Source organism: Homo sapiens, chromosome 5 (assembly GCF_000001405.40).
Source record: "Homo sapiens chromosome 5, GRCh38.p14 Primary Assembly".
Lineage (NCBI taxonomy): Eukaryota > Metazoa > Chordata > Mammalia > Primates > Hominidae > Homo > Homo sapiens.
In genome coordinates, this window is record NC_000005.10 from 84,464,747 (window position 1) to 84,482,145 (window position 17,399).

Below are 17,399 nucleotides of genomic sequence, written 5' to 3' on the forward strand. Positions count from 1 at the left end.
CGAGTCCAAGTTTGAATTCAGGAATTTGGATAAGTGTTTTGAGCTTCCATTTGTGATTCTTCAATCTGAAAAAATAGAGTTTACATTAAGATAAGAAGAACCCATTATGAGGAAGCAAACCCTTTAGGAACATATGCAGGTTTAAATGGAATTTATTAAATATGCTTTGTGTTTGTCTATGCTACAAAGACTTCAAAGTCTATGGTATAAGAAATGAAAAATGAAATAATATAGCTCTTGGAAAAAAGAGTGCTTTCCTATAAATACCAATTATAAGCAAACATGTAATTTTTAAACTAGAATGTGTTAGAATTCTAAGAGAAAGCTGTGGTTTGAGTTTTCTGATTAATTGAAGATGAACTTAATGTTTTGCAAATTTCCTAAGCTATGATTAGAAAATACCTTAATAAGATGGGCAAAGCATAATTACATTTGTCTGTAGTTGATTTTATTGAAGTAACTCAGATTAAATATCCTTAGTTTGAAACATGCTTATATTCTATAAATTTAGGGAAGAAGCAGTATGTGCTGGTACTGTTCCAGGTATTAAAAAAACAAGATAAAGAACAAACTATCAGATAATGAAGGACAGTGCTATAGTAGTAGAAGGCATATAGTAGAAGGCATCAGAAATTAGACTGAATTCATTCCACAATTATGTATGAGCTACTATTTGCTCGTTATTATTCTGGGTGCTGGAAGCATAGCAGGAAACAATATAAAAAGGCAAAACAGAACAAACTACCTTGACAAAAGCTATTGCTGAGGGAAGAATCAGAGGACATTACATGAAAAGGACTTAATTTGACAGTGAGAAGATAAAGGATATCACCTGTAGTCACTTCTATTTTATCAGAGAAATAGTAATTAAGATAATCAGAAGAGAACGTGGTAGAAGAAGATTGTTGGTGGTGTGAAGAGAGAGAGAAAGGTACAAAATACTGATGTAGGAGAGAGGGTTGTAGGATTGACTGACAGCACTAAAGACCTATTAAAGCTCTGTCACCATAAATTGACTTTGAGCATGCTTGTATTTTTATTTTTTATTTTTTTTATTTATTTTTTTTGAGACAGAGTCTTGCTCTGTGGTCCAGGCTGGAGTGCAGTGGCGCGATCATGGCTCACTGCAACCTCCGCCTCCCGGGTTCGCGCCATTCTCCTGCGTCAGCCTCCTGAGTAGCTGGGATTGCAGGCAGCCACCACCACGCCTGGCTAATTTTTGTATTTTTAGTAGAGATGTGGTTTTGCCATGTTGGCCAGGCTGGTCTTGAAATCCTGACCTCAGTTGATCCGCCTGCCTCGGCCTCCCAAGGTGCTGGAATTACAGGCATGAGCCACCATGCCAGGCTGCTTGTATGTATTTCTTAAAGCAGATGTGAAATATAAAGTTAGTTGGGATTTTCCTCAGCAAATTTAATGGAGCAGATAAAGGAAGGTGGGAGGATCTATGCAGAAATAATTATAATTGTTCTCATGGAATCTAAGCCAGATAAGGAGGGGACTGAGGCAAAGATGGAGTTGCAGGAGAATGAGAATGTGGTAGGATCAATGAATTGAAGGTTTTTGTGGAGTCAAGGAATTATTGAATTAGGATACTAGAGAGAGTGAGCTGAAAAGACACAAAGTTATAAATGGAGAGTTGGATGCTTACAATTTTAAGTATAGACAGGGAACAATTATTAGGAATAACAAGCTCTAAAGACTGATTATGATAATTGGTTGGCTGTGAAAGGAGACTAAGATTATTAGAAATGAGGAGAATCAGAAAGCAAAACCCAGAATTTTGTGAAGGTCGGTTACAGAGAAATTGAATTAATCAGAAGGTATTCGCACTGGTCCAAGGCCAAAGTTTGAGAGAATATTCAAATAATCTTGCTTATTATTCTTTTTCCTTAAAATTAAAGCACTTAAGACTATTCTAACATACTAGATATTCAAATATATTAATACATGGGCATATACTTAGGTGTGAATTCAAGATAATACTAGATGGTCTTTTTCTTATGCCATGTCCAATGTCAGCATGGTGACACATGCAAAGAAACTCTGACTCTGAAAACATTGAAGAATGCAGAAACTTTTAAATCCAGGTTTTCTTGAAGAATATTATATCAAAGGAAGTACAGCACACAACCTTCATCAAAAGTTTCTAAAAGTTCCCTTAAATTACATTTTTGTTCATTTTTTTTCCCTTAACTGCCTTTCCCATCTATGCTAGTTCACTCCTTTTTCTTATTGTATAACATCTTTTGCTCTTTGGTCACCCTGACAAAGCTGTAAGGCAGTTGGGGGCTCCGGTACTTCTGCCATTTGTATCTTCACCCATAATGCATTGTAGATCATACATTTTTTTAAAAAGGCATGAGAGGGAAAAAAAGTCATAAATACTTAGACTTACATGTATTTAGTCCCCACGATATGTGTTTATGTATATATAATGTGCATACATATTTGTGTGTGTGAGAGTTTATTCAAGGACATGAGATATAGTGATTTACCTCAATTGTTGAGAACCAGAAATGTGAGGGGAGTAAAACTTTATTAAATGACAGATATTCAAGTAACATTGGGAAGATTACTGTAAATAAATAAATGAGAAATTGAGTTTGACATTTGCATGATGAAATATGAAACACATTTTCAATAATTTCAGTGATCCCTTAAATAACATTCAGAAATGTTAGCTGACCTAAATTTCCATTTGGCTAATGACTTTCTTTGCAGAGCATATGACAAACTGTGGCATATGTTGTTGAGCATATGCCACAACACTAGCAATACATCAGTAAATTCCACCTTTCATGAGTTTTTGTATATTTATACCTAAAACTATGAAAAAGTCTCTGGGTACAATAGAAATGGACACAATCTCTTATAGAACCAAGAGAGAATATTAATGTTTAAAGCATTCATGTATTTGAATATAATGTAAAACACAGGGCGGTATACTCTCATTCATCATTTTTAGGTATAAACAAAATAACCTTCAGAAGTCCATACAAATTTTTTTTAAATAAAAAGTACTTGTGAAGCCCAGAGGATTTTAGTAGGCCATATGTTGCTTTTTACTTTTTCCTAAACAGGGTTAAATCCATAATAAATAATGCTAGTATTTTCTCCCATACCTTCTTAGGTTTCTCAATAGGAAATGATAAATAAGAAATAGGCAGAGAGGAGAAAAAAATGCTTGAAGCACATGTCAATTTTCAATTCAAATGCTGTGAGCTTAAATTTTATTAGTTTATATACTTGAATATCCATTAGTTTATAATTAGGTGCTCTGTTCACTGAATGATATAAGATCTTTCTAAATTGAGCTTTTAGAAATAGTTTGGTATTTTCATGAAAAAAATAGTACTGTATTGGTGAATATCTATTACTGTAGGCAGAAATTATGTGATTTCAAAGAAAAGAAGCAACACAAGTTAGCTCCTGAAATAGGGAAGATACTTGACAGGTGCATACCATATTACTCAAGTAAAAGCAGCTGAGTCTCCCTAAGGCCCAGAGTTAGACAGTTGCCATTCATTGCCATTCATTCATATTCTCTTTCTCTCTTTCTCTCCCACCCGCCTCCTCTGGGGCGCACCTGCCTCTGCAACCCTATCTTGGGCTAAATACTGTCTTATTTCTGGTTACCACTGCATATCTGCCTCTTTTACTTTCTCTTTCTAGATAAACTCATTTAAATTTACTCATCAATGTCCCAAATATGGCTGTCTTGGTGAAGTCTTTTACACAGCTTCTAGTTTAAGGACCTAGCAATGCCAAAGTAGAAACTGAGTTGCAAATTCAGCCACTTTCATTAGCTGAGCACCCCAGCACCAGTGAATTATGACATGGAAAGGGGTACACAGAATTCGGTAAAGTGGTAGATAACCCTGGGAGCATACTTTCTTGGATCAGTGATACAGATTGTTAAAATTCCCATTTAAGACCAGTGATACAGACGGTTAAAATTCCCATTTATTTCTATTTTAGAAAAGTCAAGAAAGTTCCTTATTCCATGCACCCTTGTACAGTTGCCTGTAGAATTCCCTAGAATTTCCTATTCAGAAATCCATTTCTTCTGGGGGAAAACACAATTTCAAAAACCTTAGAGGATGGTAACAACTGATAAAACAACTGTGAAAAAATACATGTTTGTTTGAATGGACCCATTTATCTGCTTATAATAATTTATAATTACAAAGAGCCTTAGACATAATCTAATCTCACTCTTTGTTTTGTAGGGGAACAAAGTACTTTGCAGAGATTGAAGGGCTTGCTCAAGTTCATTTGTTTGGTTATTTTGTAAAAGTCAAGACTAAAATCGGGTTTTCTTGACTTCAAGATAAATACTATTTCCACTATACCAAAGTGTTTCCATTTTAAAACTCAGTTTGATCAATGTGCCAAGGAAACTGGAATTTTGTTGCATTGGAAGTATTTGTGTTATTTTTCTATTGTTGCTACGATAAATTGCAACAAATTTGTTATCTTACAGTTCTGAAAGTCAGATGTGTAATGCAGGTCTCATTGGGCTAAAATCAAGGTGTTGGCAGGTGGTGTTTCTTTCTAGAGGCATTAGGGGAAAATTCACTTACTTGACTCTTCCAGCTTGTAAAGGCTGCCCAATAACTTTGCTTTAAAGTCACCTTTCATCTCCAATCTCTACTTCCATCCTCACATCTCCTTCTCATTTTCTTCCACTTTTAAAGACTATTATCATTACATTGAACCCACCTGGATAATCCAGACTAATTTCCCTATTTTAAGATCAGCTGATTAGTAGCCTTAATTCCACATGAAACATTAAGTCTCCTTTGCTCTACAACCTGAAGTATTCACAGGTTGTTAGGATTACAATATGCAATCTTTGAAGTCTGTGCTTATCCTTCTCCTGTCTTCTGTAATTTGAACTGATGATCACTCCCTTTGGAAGGTAATTATTAGGTCAGGATACTCCTTGACTCAACTCATTTCTGACTTTCTCTTGGAGATCCTTCTTGATCTCTGCTGATACTGCAGCCCACTTTGTAACTGAGTATGTGTGAAATATAAGTAGTGACAGCAAAGGAGGAAAGAAGAAATTATGAAGCACATTACCACAGTGCATGAAACAGACTTGGGTGCCATTCTGGCATGGGGACTGTGGTCAATTAGAAGGGTGATTTCAGGTAAGATTAACATTTAAATTAGTAAACCCTGGGGAGAGCAGACTGCCTTTCATTGTGTAGGTGAGTCTTACCCAATCAGCTGAAGGCCTGAATAGAACAAAAAGACTAACTTCTCCAAGAAGGGTGAAATTTTTTCATCAGACTGTTTTGAGACTTAATCTGCACCATCAATTCTCCTAGGTCTCCAGGCTGCCGGTCCTTAGGACTGGAACTACATCATTCACTCCCCTGCATCTCCAGCCTACTGGCACACACAGCAGATTTTGAACTAGTCAGCCTCCATAATTGCATGAGCCAATTCTTTATAATAAATCTCTCTCCTCTCTCTCTCTCTCTCTGTACACATACACACACACACACACCCCTATTGATTCTATTTCACACATACGCACACAAACACACACAAACCTATTGATTCTGTTTCTCTAAAGAACCCTAATACAGGTGGTCTTTAGCATCCACAACATAATCTGGTGGTATTTATTCTTACTTTATATCAGTCTTCAAAAAGCATTACCTCACTTTGAATCTTTCTAGCCAGCAAGATTTTTTTTTCAAGGCTTTAAACTTTATATTCTCTCTCTCCATACATGGTTTTCTTGCCTTTCTATTCTATCACTCCTAACTGTGACTCTACTGTTTATCTTCACTGGAGCATAGAATCCTTTAATGATACTTTTCACCCAACTTTACAGAGACCACTAACCCTCTTCTGTTTGTTCTTGAGCCATATCCAGCCATCTCTCCTTGACTGGAAATTTCTATATCATAATCTCTAATCTTTTGAAAAAAACTGATTTTAACCATTGCAATATTCAACTGTGAATTATCCCCTGAAACTGTATTTGGTTTAGTTCTTTTCCTTATTACCTGAATGTGGTTGTAGAAAATCAGATAATCTACCTTGTGCCCACTACCCATACTACTTATTTTATCTTACTGATTTCTAGCATACTTCCCTGGTTGCAAGTTCCAAACTCCCCCAGTCCATTCATTTCTCCAGTTAACAATGAATGCTTGAATCTTCCCATGTAATTTTCCTCATGTTCTGACTATTCCTATAAGAAAATTGAGGCCAGCCCTCATGACCTCATAGCCTAATATGTACATTAGGCATGAAAATGAATATGACAACAGAATGAGATTCATGCTTTACTAAACACATGCTAGACATATGCAAAAGTAGTATGTTGGCTTAAAAGAGGAGATTGACCGCCTCTATAAAAGTGGAACAGTGGTGGCTGCAGGGAGATTCAAAGGAGGTTCCTCAAAGGAGATTATTCTGGAACTGGGTCTGGGAGAGGAAAAGAAGCTCATAAGGGAGAGGCTGGGTTTCTTAGAAGACAGTTTCCTTGGTGTCTGCCACACTTGGCATTCTGTTTTCTAGTTTTAGCCTTCTAAATTTTCTTTTTTTTTTCTTTTTCTTTTTTTTATTTATTTTTTTATTTATTATTTTTTTTTATTATACTTTAAGTTTTAGGGTACATGTGCACATTGTGCAGGTTAGTTACATATGTATACATGTGCCATGCTGGTGCGCTGCACCCACTAACTCATCATCTAGCATTAGGTATATCTCCCAATGCTATCCCTCCCCCCTCCCCCCACCCCACCACAGTCCCCAGAGTGTGATATTCCCCTTCCTGTGTCCATGTGATCTCATTGTTCAATTCCCACCTATGAGTGAGAATATGCGGTGTTTGGCTTTTTGTTCTTGCGATAGTTTACTGAGAATGATGATTTCCAATTTCATCCATGTCCCTACAAAGGACATGAACTCATCATTTTTTATGGCTGCATAGTATTCCATGGTGTATATGTGCCACATTTTCTTAATCCAGTCTATCATTGTTGGACATTTGGCTTGGTTCCAAGTCTTTGCTATTGTGAATAATGCCACAATAAACAAACGTGTGCATGTGTCTTTATAGCAGCATGATTTATAGTCCTTTGGGTATATACCCAGTAATGGGATGGCTGGGTCAAATGGTATTTCTAGTTCTAGATCCCTGAGGAATCGCCACACTGACTTCCACAATGGTTGAACTAGTTTACAGTCCCACCAACAGTGTAAAAGTGTTCCTATTTCTCCACATCCTCTCCAGCACCTGTTGTTTCCTGACTTTTTAATGATTGCCATTCTAACTGGTGTGAGATGGTATCTCATTGTGGTTTTGATTTGCATTTCTCTGATCGCCAGTGATGATGAGCATTTTTTCATGTGTTTTTTGGCTGCATAAATGTCTTCTTTTGAGAAGTGTCTGTTCATGTCCTTCGCCCACTTTTTGATGGGTTTGTTTTTTTCTTGTAGATTTGTTTGAGTTCATTGTAGATTCTGGATATTAGCCCTTTGTCAGATGAGTAGGTTGCAAAAATTTTCTCCCATTTTGTAGGTTACCTGTTCACTCTGATGGTAGTTTCTTTTGCTGTGCAGAAGCTCTTTAGTTTAATTAGATCCCATTTGTCAATTTTGTCTTTTGTTGCCATTGCTTTTGGTGTTTTAGACATGAAGTCCTTGCCCATGCCTATGTCCTGAATGGTACTGCCTAGGTTTCTCTAAATTTTCTCTATCATTTAAGCTAGGCTCATATCCTTCTACTATACCTCCTGTAAATATAGACATTTCTCCAGACTCAATTTCAAGCTACCTATTCAGTTACATCTTTCAGAAAATTTACCTACTGTCAGAAGGTAATTCTTTACCTCATCCAGTGAGTCATCAAATCCTATTCTCAATACTTCTCACTACTAACAATTTCCTTTTTCAACCCAAGATATGAGGCTGGTATAATTACATTCTGGGAAAACTGATAAGAATGTCAGTTGAGCCACTTGCCTTCATTCTCTAAATTTGCTAGTTTATTCAAGATGAATCATTCTCATATACAATTTTTCAAAATATGCTCCCTGATTTCCACAAGGAAAAGTCTAAACCTTTTAGTTTGCTGTGCAAGACTCTCCATAATCTAGACCCAAACCACCTTCACAGATAAGTGCCCACTATTCCCTAAAAGAATTATTTTAGCATGGCATACACCAGCTCTCTCATGTCAACTCCTTCAAACTTCTAGCCTTAACTCTTTCCCAGTCCCAATTAGCTTTATGCTGTAGTCATGTTGAACTCATCTTGGTTTCTTGAAAATGTCTCCTTTCTGTCTTAGTATGCGCTCCTTTGCATGTGTCTCTTCTCAGACTTGTAAACTCATTGGGACAGGATATATGCTTCATTCAGATTTATATTCTCCCATCTTGACCCCTAGAAAAAACAAAGTTATTAAATATACTGATCAAATGAAATATTGCTTACAACTCCTTTAAAACCCTGCACTTCAGTGGGATGTCCTTTATCTTCTTAAAACAGACATCTAATAAAGATACATTTGAAATCTGATTCTCTCCAGTTATTTATGGGAAAAATAGTCTCTATTTGTACCTGTGGGAATACAGAGAGATAATTGCTTTGGTGACTTCCCGTAACCTAAAGCAACAAGAAAGTGACATAGCTGAGAATAGAGTTTAGTTCTTTGACTTCCAATTCATGTTTCCTACAAAGCATAACTTAACAATTTGGAAAGAAATTCCATATGAATTAAACATCTTTCTTTGAATTGAAATAAGTTTATTTTCAACATCAACACCTTCACTACAGGGTATTCTGTGAACTGAAAAGAAAGGCTCTGTGCTGAAACTGTGTCTCGCTAACACTTCAGCTGACATATTAACTTCTTGTTGAAGAGCTATTTAATTTGAATAGAATCTGAGCCGTTACAGTGGTAGGAAGATTTTATGTAACCTCATTTTTCTATTGATGAAAACTCCACTACCTTTAAGATCTAAAAAGATAAGACATCTGCCATTAAAAAAAAAAAAAAAATCACCGTTATCTGGAAGATACATTCACAGGCAGTTAACAAATATTGCATTAGGCTTTACACATTACCAGGCCACAGGAGAGGTGAAGAGGTGAAATCAGAGAATTGATAGGCTGTACATGTTAAAAATAATATTGACTATTAATTAAATGTATAATGAAACTTCAAATATATAAATATTTTTCTCTTACATGTTAAAGCTCATCTTGGAAAGAGCTTAAATTTCAATAAAAAATACAAGAATGAAAGCAAATGGCAAATACTTCAGCTACAATTCAATGAATATAATTTTCTTGCTTATAAATATGATTAAAGTTGCAGCACTTTTTAAAACATGAGAATCATGTATAGAACCATGTTTATGGAGTTTAAAAAGACTCTAGCAATGTACCATTTGACCACTGAGAGGGGTGAGGGTCTTTGCTTTCATCCCCGAAAGGATCCACAGTTTTTAAGGACTGTGTTTTGGTGCACAGAAGAGCACGCTCTCATGCGTAAGTAAATAAATTAGCATCGCATTCTTGGAATATATTTCCTTTATCCATCCTAGGGTAACCACATTTTGAATTGCTTTAAGTGAGTTATGATAATACCTGGGCTCCACTTTGGCATGTCAACAGATGACTAAGGGAAGATCTGGTTGAATTGTGAAGATTAGGCTGAGTTATTGATATTGTCTGTTAACATGGATAAACATTTTAAAATTGCTATACTCATTTGAAATCTACAATTTATTCATAACAATGTATAGAGAATCTGTATTCTAGTCGCTGTGCTAGAGTCTACAGAGCTAAAGTTAGATAAGATACAGTGGGAAAGAAAACACATATACAAGTCATTATTAAATAATGGAAAAGGATGGAGAGACGTAAGTAACTTGAATCTTAAACACAAACAGAAAACCATATAGGAATTTTCAAGGTGAAGAGTGTGAGTAAAGGCATTCCCATCATAGGGAACTTCATTTGAAGAGCCAGGAAGACAGAAAACAACATAGTGTGGGTGGAGAGCTGTATTAGTCTGTTCTCACACTGCTGTAAAGAACTGCCCATGACTGGGTAATTTATAAAGGAAAGAGGTTTAATTGACTTATAGTTCTACATGGCTGGGAGAGCCTCAGGAAACTTATAATCAAGGCATAAAGGAAAACAAACATATCCTTCTTTCACATGGTAGCAGGAGAGAGAGGTGCTGAACAAAGACAAAAGCCCCTTATAAAATCATCAGATCTCATGAGAACTCACTGTCATGAGAACAACATGGTGGTAACTTCCCCCCTGATTCAATTACCTCCCACTGGGTACCTCCCATGACATGTAGGGATTATGGGAACTACATTTCAAGATGAGATCTGGGTGGAGAGACAGCCAAGCCTATAAAAAGCTATAAGCAACTCAGTGTTGTTAGATTATAAAGTTCAAACAGAGAAGAGGAAAGATACACCTGTAGAGACAGAAAGAGTCCTGGTCAAGTTATATTAGCTGTGGCATACAGGGCAGTTTGAACTTCATCCTACAGAAAAGACTCATTGAAGAGTTTGAAGAGATGCTTTGTGTTTGAAATAGAACACCTTGGCAGTGGTGTGTAGAATAGATTTGAGAGGATAAAATTATGAGCCTGAAGATCAAGTAGTTAAGAGATTATTGAAGTAGTCTAAGAGAGAGGTGTTTTGAATCTAAATGAAAACACTGATAGTAATGATGAAAGTATGGGAAAAGATTTTAAAAAATATTTAGAAGACAAATTTAGCAAAACTGTTGCATAGAGACAGATTGAGGAATTAAGAATAATTATTCTTGGGTTTTTCTTTTGAGTGATTATATATTTTGTGCCATTAACTTGGTTAGAGATTAAGGAGAATGACATGGAAGAGAAGGAAGAAGTGGAAGGGAGGGAGGCAATTTTAACTGATTGTTGCATATTTAGGCAAACTGGATTCTTTTATATTAGTGGGCTGCTCAATGATAAATATAATGACATAAGAATGTGTTCATTATCCTTGAAAAGTTTTAATACAACATGTATATTCTCAACTGAATTAGCTTAATTATGATTTTGATTTTTACTTTGAAATACTATAGCATTTTCTGAGAATACTTCAGTTTTTCAAATATTCTTTATATACGTATATGAAAAGAAATATCTGAAAATCATCCATTTATAGAATAGTAGAGAAAGCAATAGTAGATCAGACTGATTTTTGAGGTATCCCATCATTCTGTTCCAGGGTTAATATTTAAGAAAGAACTTTAAAAGTTTAGGGATATCCATCAAACATCGCTAGATTCATTAATGAGGTAAGGACTTATCTGTCTTAAAGAATTTAATCCAGGAAATTATGGCTAAAATAAATAGAGAGCTCAAGCTATTCATCTGATTCATGTTTATTGAGATTAATGTTTTTGTTTCCTAGATTTGGTCATTATTTCATTACTAAGATGCAGTTGATAAAACCCAAACCAAATAAAAAAGTCAGCTAACAAAAAATATTACTTCATAATCTAATGACTTCCCTTTCATCTCTAATTTGCAATAACTTAATGTTTTCTTTGACTATGAAAAGGATTTCAAAGCCAGCCTATATGGAAAAAGGAAAGAGCTGTGTTCTAGCAACTGATCCTGGAACTATACACAGTTTATGCATTTTTTGTTAAAATAAATTTTAGAACACTGGAAATATTTTATCACATAATGAAATATCTGATGACACAAAATTTCCAATGACATTAAAGTAAATAAGATACGTCTAGATTTCACACATTTCTATGCCTTCAAACACTAAACATTTCTTTATATACATTTACAACAGGTTCCTCTATAAAATTATACTTGCAATGCAGATGTTAGAAAGTCATTTATACCATGATTTGTTATACATGTGATGCCAGTGATTTATGTTCATTATGATACAGTTTATTTTAACTAAAATGAATCATCTATAGGGCTGATAAAAAGATAGCCCATAGGAACAGAGGCCTTTTTAACTTCCAGGTTATGACTTTTAAATCTTCCTAAATCATTACTGCTACAGTGCATTAAACGACACCCAAGTGACCTAGCAGAGTTGATGTGCTTCCCTAAGCACATGAAAGAGTATTAGATTATGACACTCAGGAAAATCTAGCATTTTATGTTTAATCAACCAGAACAAAGGGTATTCTACATATTTGTTTCTTATTTTCCCAACTAGTCTTAGAATAATACTTAGCTCTCAAAGGAATGAGTGCAATCCAATGGAAATCATTACAGTATTAATCTAAAACAACTTCAATACCCAGTGGGTAATCAGAGGCATAGTCAATCTATGTATGCCTTTAAGACAGTTCAGTGAAAGGCAAGACAGGTTTCTGCTAACTTCTTGGTGTTCTCTAGGTTAGTAGCAGGTTGATATTTGAAATTTGGTCTAGAGACAGTTATGATTATTTCCAGTTTTCTTTTCAAAGCAGGTCACACTTACTTTTTTGTCAGACTTTTTTGTTGCAATTGTCCTCAATATTAATTTGGAATGAGTTTTAACATGTTACTCCATAAATGTTTGAGAACAGTTGAACTAAGATATGTTCCCTAGGAAATGATAAATGATCATTTTAATACTACCATGAGAAGAAATAACTATTCCAGGGCATCGAGTGGCAAGCCCAGCAGCCCTATAAACCTACCACAAGAGTCAAGTTCATTGGAATGACTATCTTATGGGAAAATCTGGCAGGATCACTTTGAAGCATTTTTAACATAAGAAAAAAACATGAACTTGTTAATCTCCTAGTCACCAAAGGGCCACATTAAAAAGATTTGCTATAGTTGAGGGATTGTTCAAGGTTATGATATCACCTGTCAAACATCAAAACATGAGGTGCACAAGACTCAAAAGAAATTCAGAAACTTTCAGTTTTACATTCGGTAATGGGTCCCCGGGAGTAACTGGGTGTCCTTGACAATGTGCTATGGTTAGTTTCTGCTGCTCTAGGCATTTTGCTGAATACTGTTTTCATACCTTTATGGGCATGCAGTCATAAACAATACCAAGAAATGGTAAAATAAGTATATGAACTTATTTGGTCTTGTTTACAGTAAAAATTCAGAAAATGTGGAACTCTTAAGATTGAATGAATGCTTATTGCTTTTTATGTTTTGAAATAATTGAATGTGTTTTTTAAAAAATTATGGTTGAATAAATTTGGAGCAAAAACATTTTTTAGTCTATGACGAATGTTTAATTTTACTTGAAACTAAGTTATTAGGTTTGAAGTATAGTGAGTGGTGGAATTCCAGCTTATTTCTTCATAGCGATATATCTCTATCTTAATAAGAAAATCAATATAATTGAGTCTTGAAATTTTAACAACGTTAAAGCCAAAAATATATTATGATTCATAATCTAGGGTTTCATACATAAATCTATAATAATTGCTTAGTACATACAAATATGCAGAGAAAGGACAACTTTCTTGTGATAGAATTATACTATGTTATGATTCATTATTGGTAGCATAAAATATAAAAACATATATATAAAATATAACATTTATATATAACATTATATATATAAAATATAAAAACATTATATTTTGTGCTGTCTACCAATAATGAATCAGGTTGTTTCAGGTACATACAAATTGAAACAAGTGTCTTAAATAGGATGGTTAATGCCTTAAAAGACAATGTCATTTGATTAGCTTTGTGTCCCTGTGTCTGTCAGATAGCAGGAGCTCTGTAAATGCTTACCACATGAATGGATGAATTTGTATACAAGTGGCCTGAGGAATTTACAATTCATAAATGTAGTGCACATTATCTCATTAGATATACAAAGTGTTTTGGCGCAATAATGTTACATCATTCATTTGATGTAAAACCAGAATTTTGAAAGCTCTTTTGATTAATAAATTCAGTAACTTTTTGGATTTATAATTTAGATAACATAATTTTACAAGGCGTAATGACATGCATATCCCTGCCACATACAGCTCACCAGAGGTTTTGATAACCATGCTATATTCCCACATAAATATGAGTAGGTCTTAAGTTATGTTTATGACTCATTTTCCCTAAGATGGGCACTATTTCCTGCTAACCAAAATAATTCCTGTATAGGCTATGTACTTACCAGGTAATGCAGAAATGAAAAAAATATACTCTTAGATGAGTTTAGGGTTTCTAAACTCACATCCCTGACCATAAGAAATTCTTAATAGAAATACATGATAAAATGAATTAAAAAGCATACGTGATATAAACTGAAGTGTTATCATTCTTGACTTGTATTTATTCGTAGTTTAGTAAAAGAGTACATTACCTCTATTATTTTGTCAATTTAATTACTATTAAATTCCTCCTGGGGTTTTGTTTCTCATAAAATATGGTCATTGTAACTCCAACATAACTAAATGCAGCCACTCAAGGTGAGGATGATAGATTGCACAATTTTTAACATAACTGTAAATAACATTAACATGAAATTTAGAAAGAAAGCTAAGAAAGTGTCAACTTTAAACTTGCCCTGTGTCAACATCTGAATAGCTTCCATGGTCTCAGTTTCATTTCTTGCCAAGGAAGAGTCTTAGAAGAGAGACTTCTAATGTCTATTTATATTTTAAATGTCTCTTTCACATAATACATTTATTATCATCATCATTATCATTTATTTCCATTATCATCATTATTAGTTTTGACTCATAGCTTTAAGAACTTAAAAGCCCCAGGGATTGTTCCATCAAAAGGCATAGCTTTATCACTCCTCCTCTGGCCTGATGGTTGTCTCATCTTCTAGAAAAAAATCCAGTGACTATAGATGATGATTTTTTTGAATATAATCATTTTTTGACTGGGTTATAATGCAACAAAAAAGGTACAGTTAATGAAAAGTATATGAGAATGTATTTCTCACTACAGCACTGTATTTGTACTACATATTATACTGTTTCTCTACAAATTTAAAAATTAGTTTCTTAGATTTTAACCTAGCATCTTCATAAACATGATCTAACTTACAATTACATTGCAAAGATTTGAAAACTATGACAAAATGCAAGTAAGTTACTCCAGGTGATTTAATGAGGTAGTTGCAAAGCCCCAACTGTTATGAGAAATCTAAGATGGTCTGATGCCTACTGAGAATATGCTTTATCCCTTATTTCATCATTCTTCCAGGGTTTTTCCTAAAACATTTTCAGCAAATTAAATTTTAAATGCTTTCCATTAACACTAAATCTAGCTAGATCATGTTTTTCTATACACAATTGACAGGTGTACCTCACATTTAAATAAAGAACAAAGTGTGTTTCCATATCCAGTAATTTTGTCTGTTAACCTAGCACTTTATTACATTGGCATACAATCACTATCACTATTTTATTTTAAATCAGCACTTTAGGATGCTCTAAAGAACTGATGTTTGGGCCGGGCTGGGTGACTAATGCCTGTAATCCCAGCATTTCTGGAGGCCAAGGCAGGTGGATCACGAAGTCAGGAGATCGAGACCATCCTGGCTAACATGGTGAAACCCCGTTTCTACTAAAAATACAAAAATTAGCCGGGCGTGGTGGGAGAATGGCGTGAACCTGGGAGGTGGAGCTTGCAGTGAGCCGGGATGGTGCCACTGCACTCCAGCCTGGGCAACAGAGCGAGACTCCGTCTCAAAAAAAAAAAAAAAAAAAAAAAGAATTGATGTTTCAAGATATTTTACTATAAGAAAGCTTGAAGCATCTGTGCTTCAAGATTTTATTTTGGGAAATCTCACTTTGACATATTTATGTCTTAATAACATAACCAGCAATCTTTAATTTTCTATAGTGATGCCAGGAAATATATATTCCACTCCCCAGAAGAGTTGGTATCTGGTGGTATGTTCTACATATCAAAAACCTGTCATGTTACCAAAAAAAATGTTAGAACATAAAGTGTGGGTGAATCATTACTTCTAATTCTTTCCCTAAAAATTGTGTTTTTAAAATACTTTGCATACCCTTGAAACAACATAGAATGAAAGTTGTGTTAGAGTTTCCATAATGGGAAATCCAGTGGTCCTCAAACATTTTATTAGCAGTTTTTAATAAAAAAAATTAATACAACTTATAAATTTGGGGTGAAATGTAGTTTTAATAGCATTCTCTTTTATGTCATAATATGTGTTTGTGTTTGAGTAAGGGCCCTGCCAATTGCTAACTGCAAGACTTAGTAATTCAGTTCCCCAGACTAGAGACTCTTCACTTGTAAAATGGTGCAAATAATAGCTTACCTCATGGAGTAGCTGTGAAGATTAAGTAAGACAATGCTTGCGCAGTCTGAAGCATAGCTTTTACCACTAAGAAAACAATAGCAATATTTACAAATGAATCAGATGAGAAGCTCCGGTGAAGCACAGGTTGGAATACCTTAAGTCTTACATTCTTAGTAACCCTTCCAGGCATTGTTAATGGTTCAGAAGGTGAGTTTCAAACACTTTCTCCTCTTCATTCCCCCATCAAATTGAGGTTTTATCGATAATCCAGAGAAGAAGAGTTTAGATAAATGATGTGTTTTCCTTATTATATCCTGGATTCTTCCTTACTGTTTTATTAAGATAAGCAAGCATAGTCATTTCCCCTGATTACAGGGACCTACACACAAGAGCAGCTTTAGGGTTACAATACAATGAAGAGCTAGCACTCAGAATGGCTTTCACCTCTCACACAGTGGCTGATATTGGTAGGGGGTAATACATATCAAAAGAGGTGACATTAGCTATTCGTTGAGCTTCATGAAGCTCAGAAAGTCGGGGATTGTCTGTCAGAAAGTCCAGAATTGTCTGCCATTTTCTAATCTTAGAGGCTAACCCTATGAGAACAGGAAACAACAACAACAAACAAACAACAACAACAACAACAAAACACTGATTTGGGACCACTGGTCCTTGTTCTGTATTGACTGAAAATATTCCTCCCTATTATCTCATAAGACTGACAATCAGATTGACTTCCAGGGTTAAGGGGCTCACATATTAAAACACAGCCTAGGTTTTATGTGCCAACCAGGGCATTATGATAGGTTAATACAAAAATATTTTGCCTAACACACGGATAAAAGTTATAGGTTAACAATTTTAGATATAGTCTGCTGGTAAGTTCTTCTGAATTCAGCTTGACTTCCTCATGCATCTGTGGTCTACACGTCAGCTAGGAGGTTCTCCGGGGTGACAAGAACAATGGAGTCATGTGTTTCTCATCTTCTGGAAAGCTAACTGAACTTAGTTACATACCTCCAAAGGCAATATATGGTACATCCATCCCAGGATCTTGCAAAACGTCATCCAATCATGGCACCAGGCTGAAAGCCATGAAATTGAGAATCTGTATCAACACTAGATGCAGGTCTTTGGATACACTCCCTT

The 17,399-nt window shown here is 35.0% G+C and overlaps 2 annotated features.

The window, feature by feature from the left end:
• Positions 15,905–16,501: an enhancer, noted in NCBI's record as "OCT4-NANOG hESC enhancer chr5:83776469-83777065 (GRCh37/hg19 assembly coordinates)". NCBI's record gives its function as "activates a minimal SCP1, AML or CMV promoter by ChIP-STARR-seq in naive and primed H9 embryonic stem cells {active_cell/tissue: H9 hESC(naive and primed)}" and the evidence as "EXISTENCE:reporter gene assay evidence [ECO:0000049][PMID:30033119]".
• Positions 16,502–17,097: an enhancer, noted in NCBI's record as "OCT4-NANOG hESC enhancer chr5:83777066-83777661 (GRCh37/hg19 assembly coordinates)". NCBI's record gives its function as "activates a minimal SCP1, AML or CMV promoter by ChIP-STARR-seq in naive and primed H9 embryonic stem cells {active_cell/tissue: H9 hESC(naive and primed)}" and the evidence as "EXISTENCE:reporter gene assay evidence [ECO:0000049][PMID:30033119]".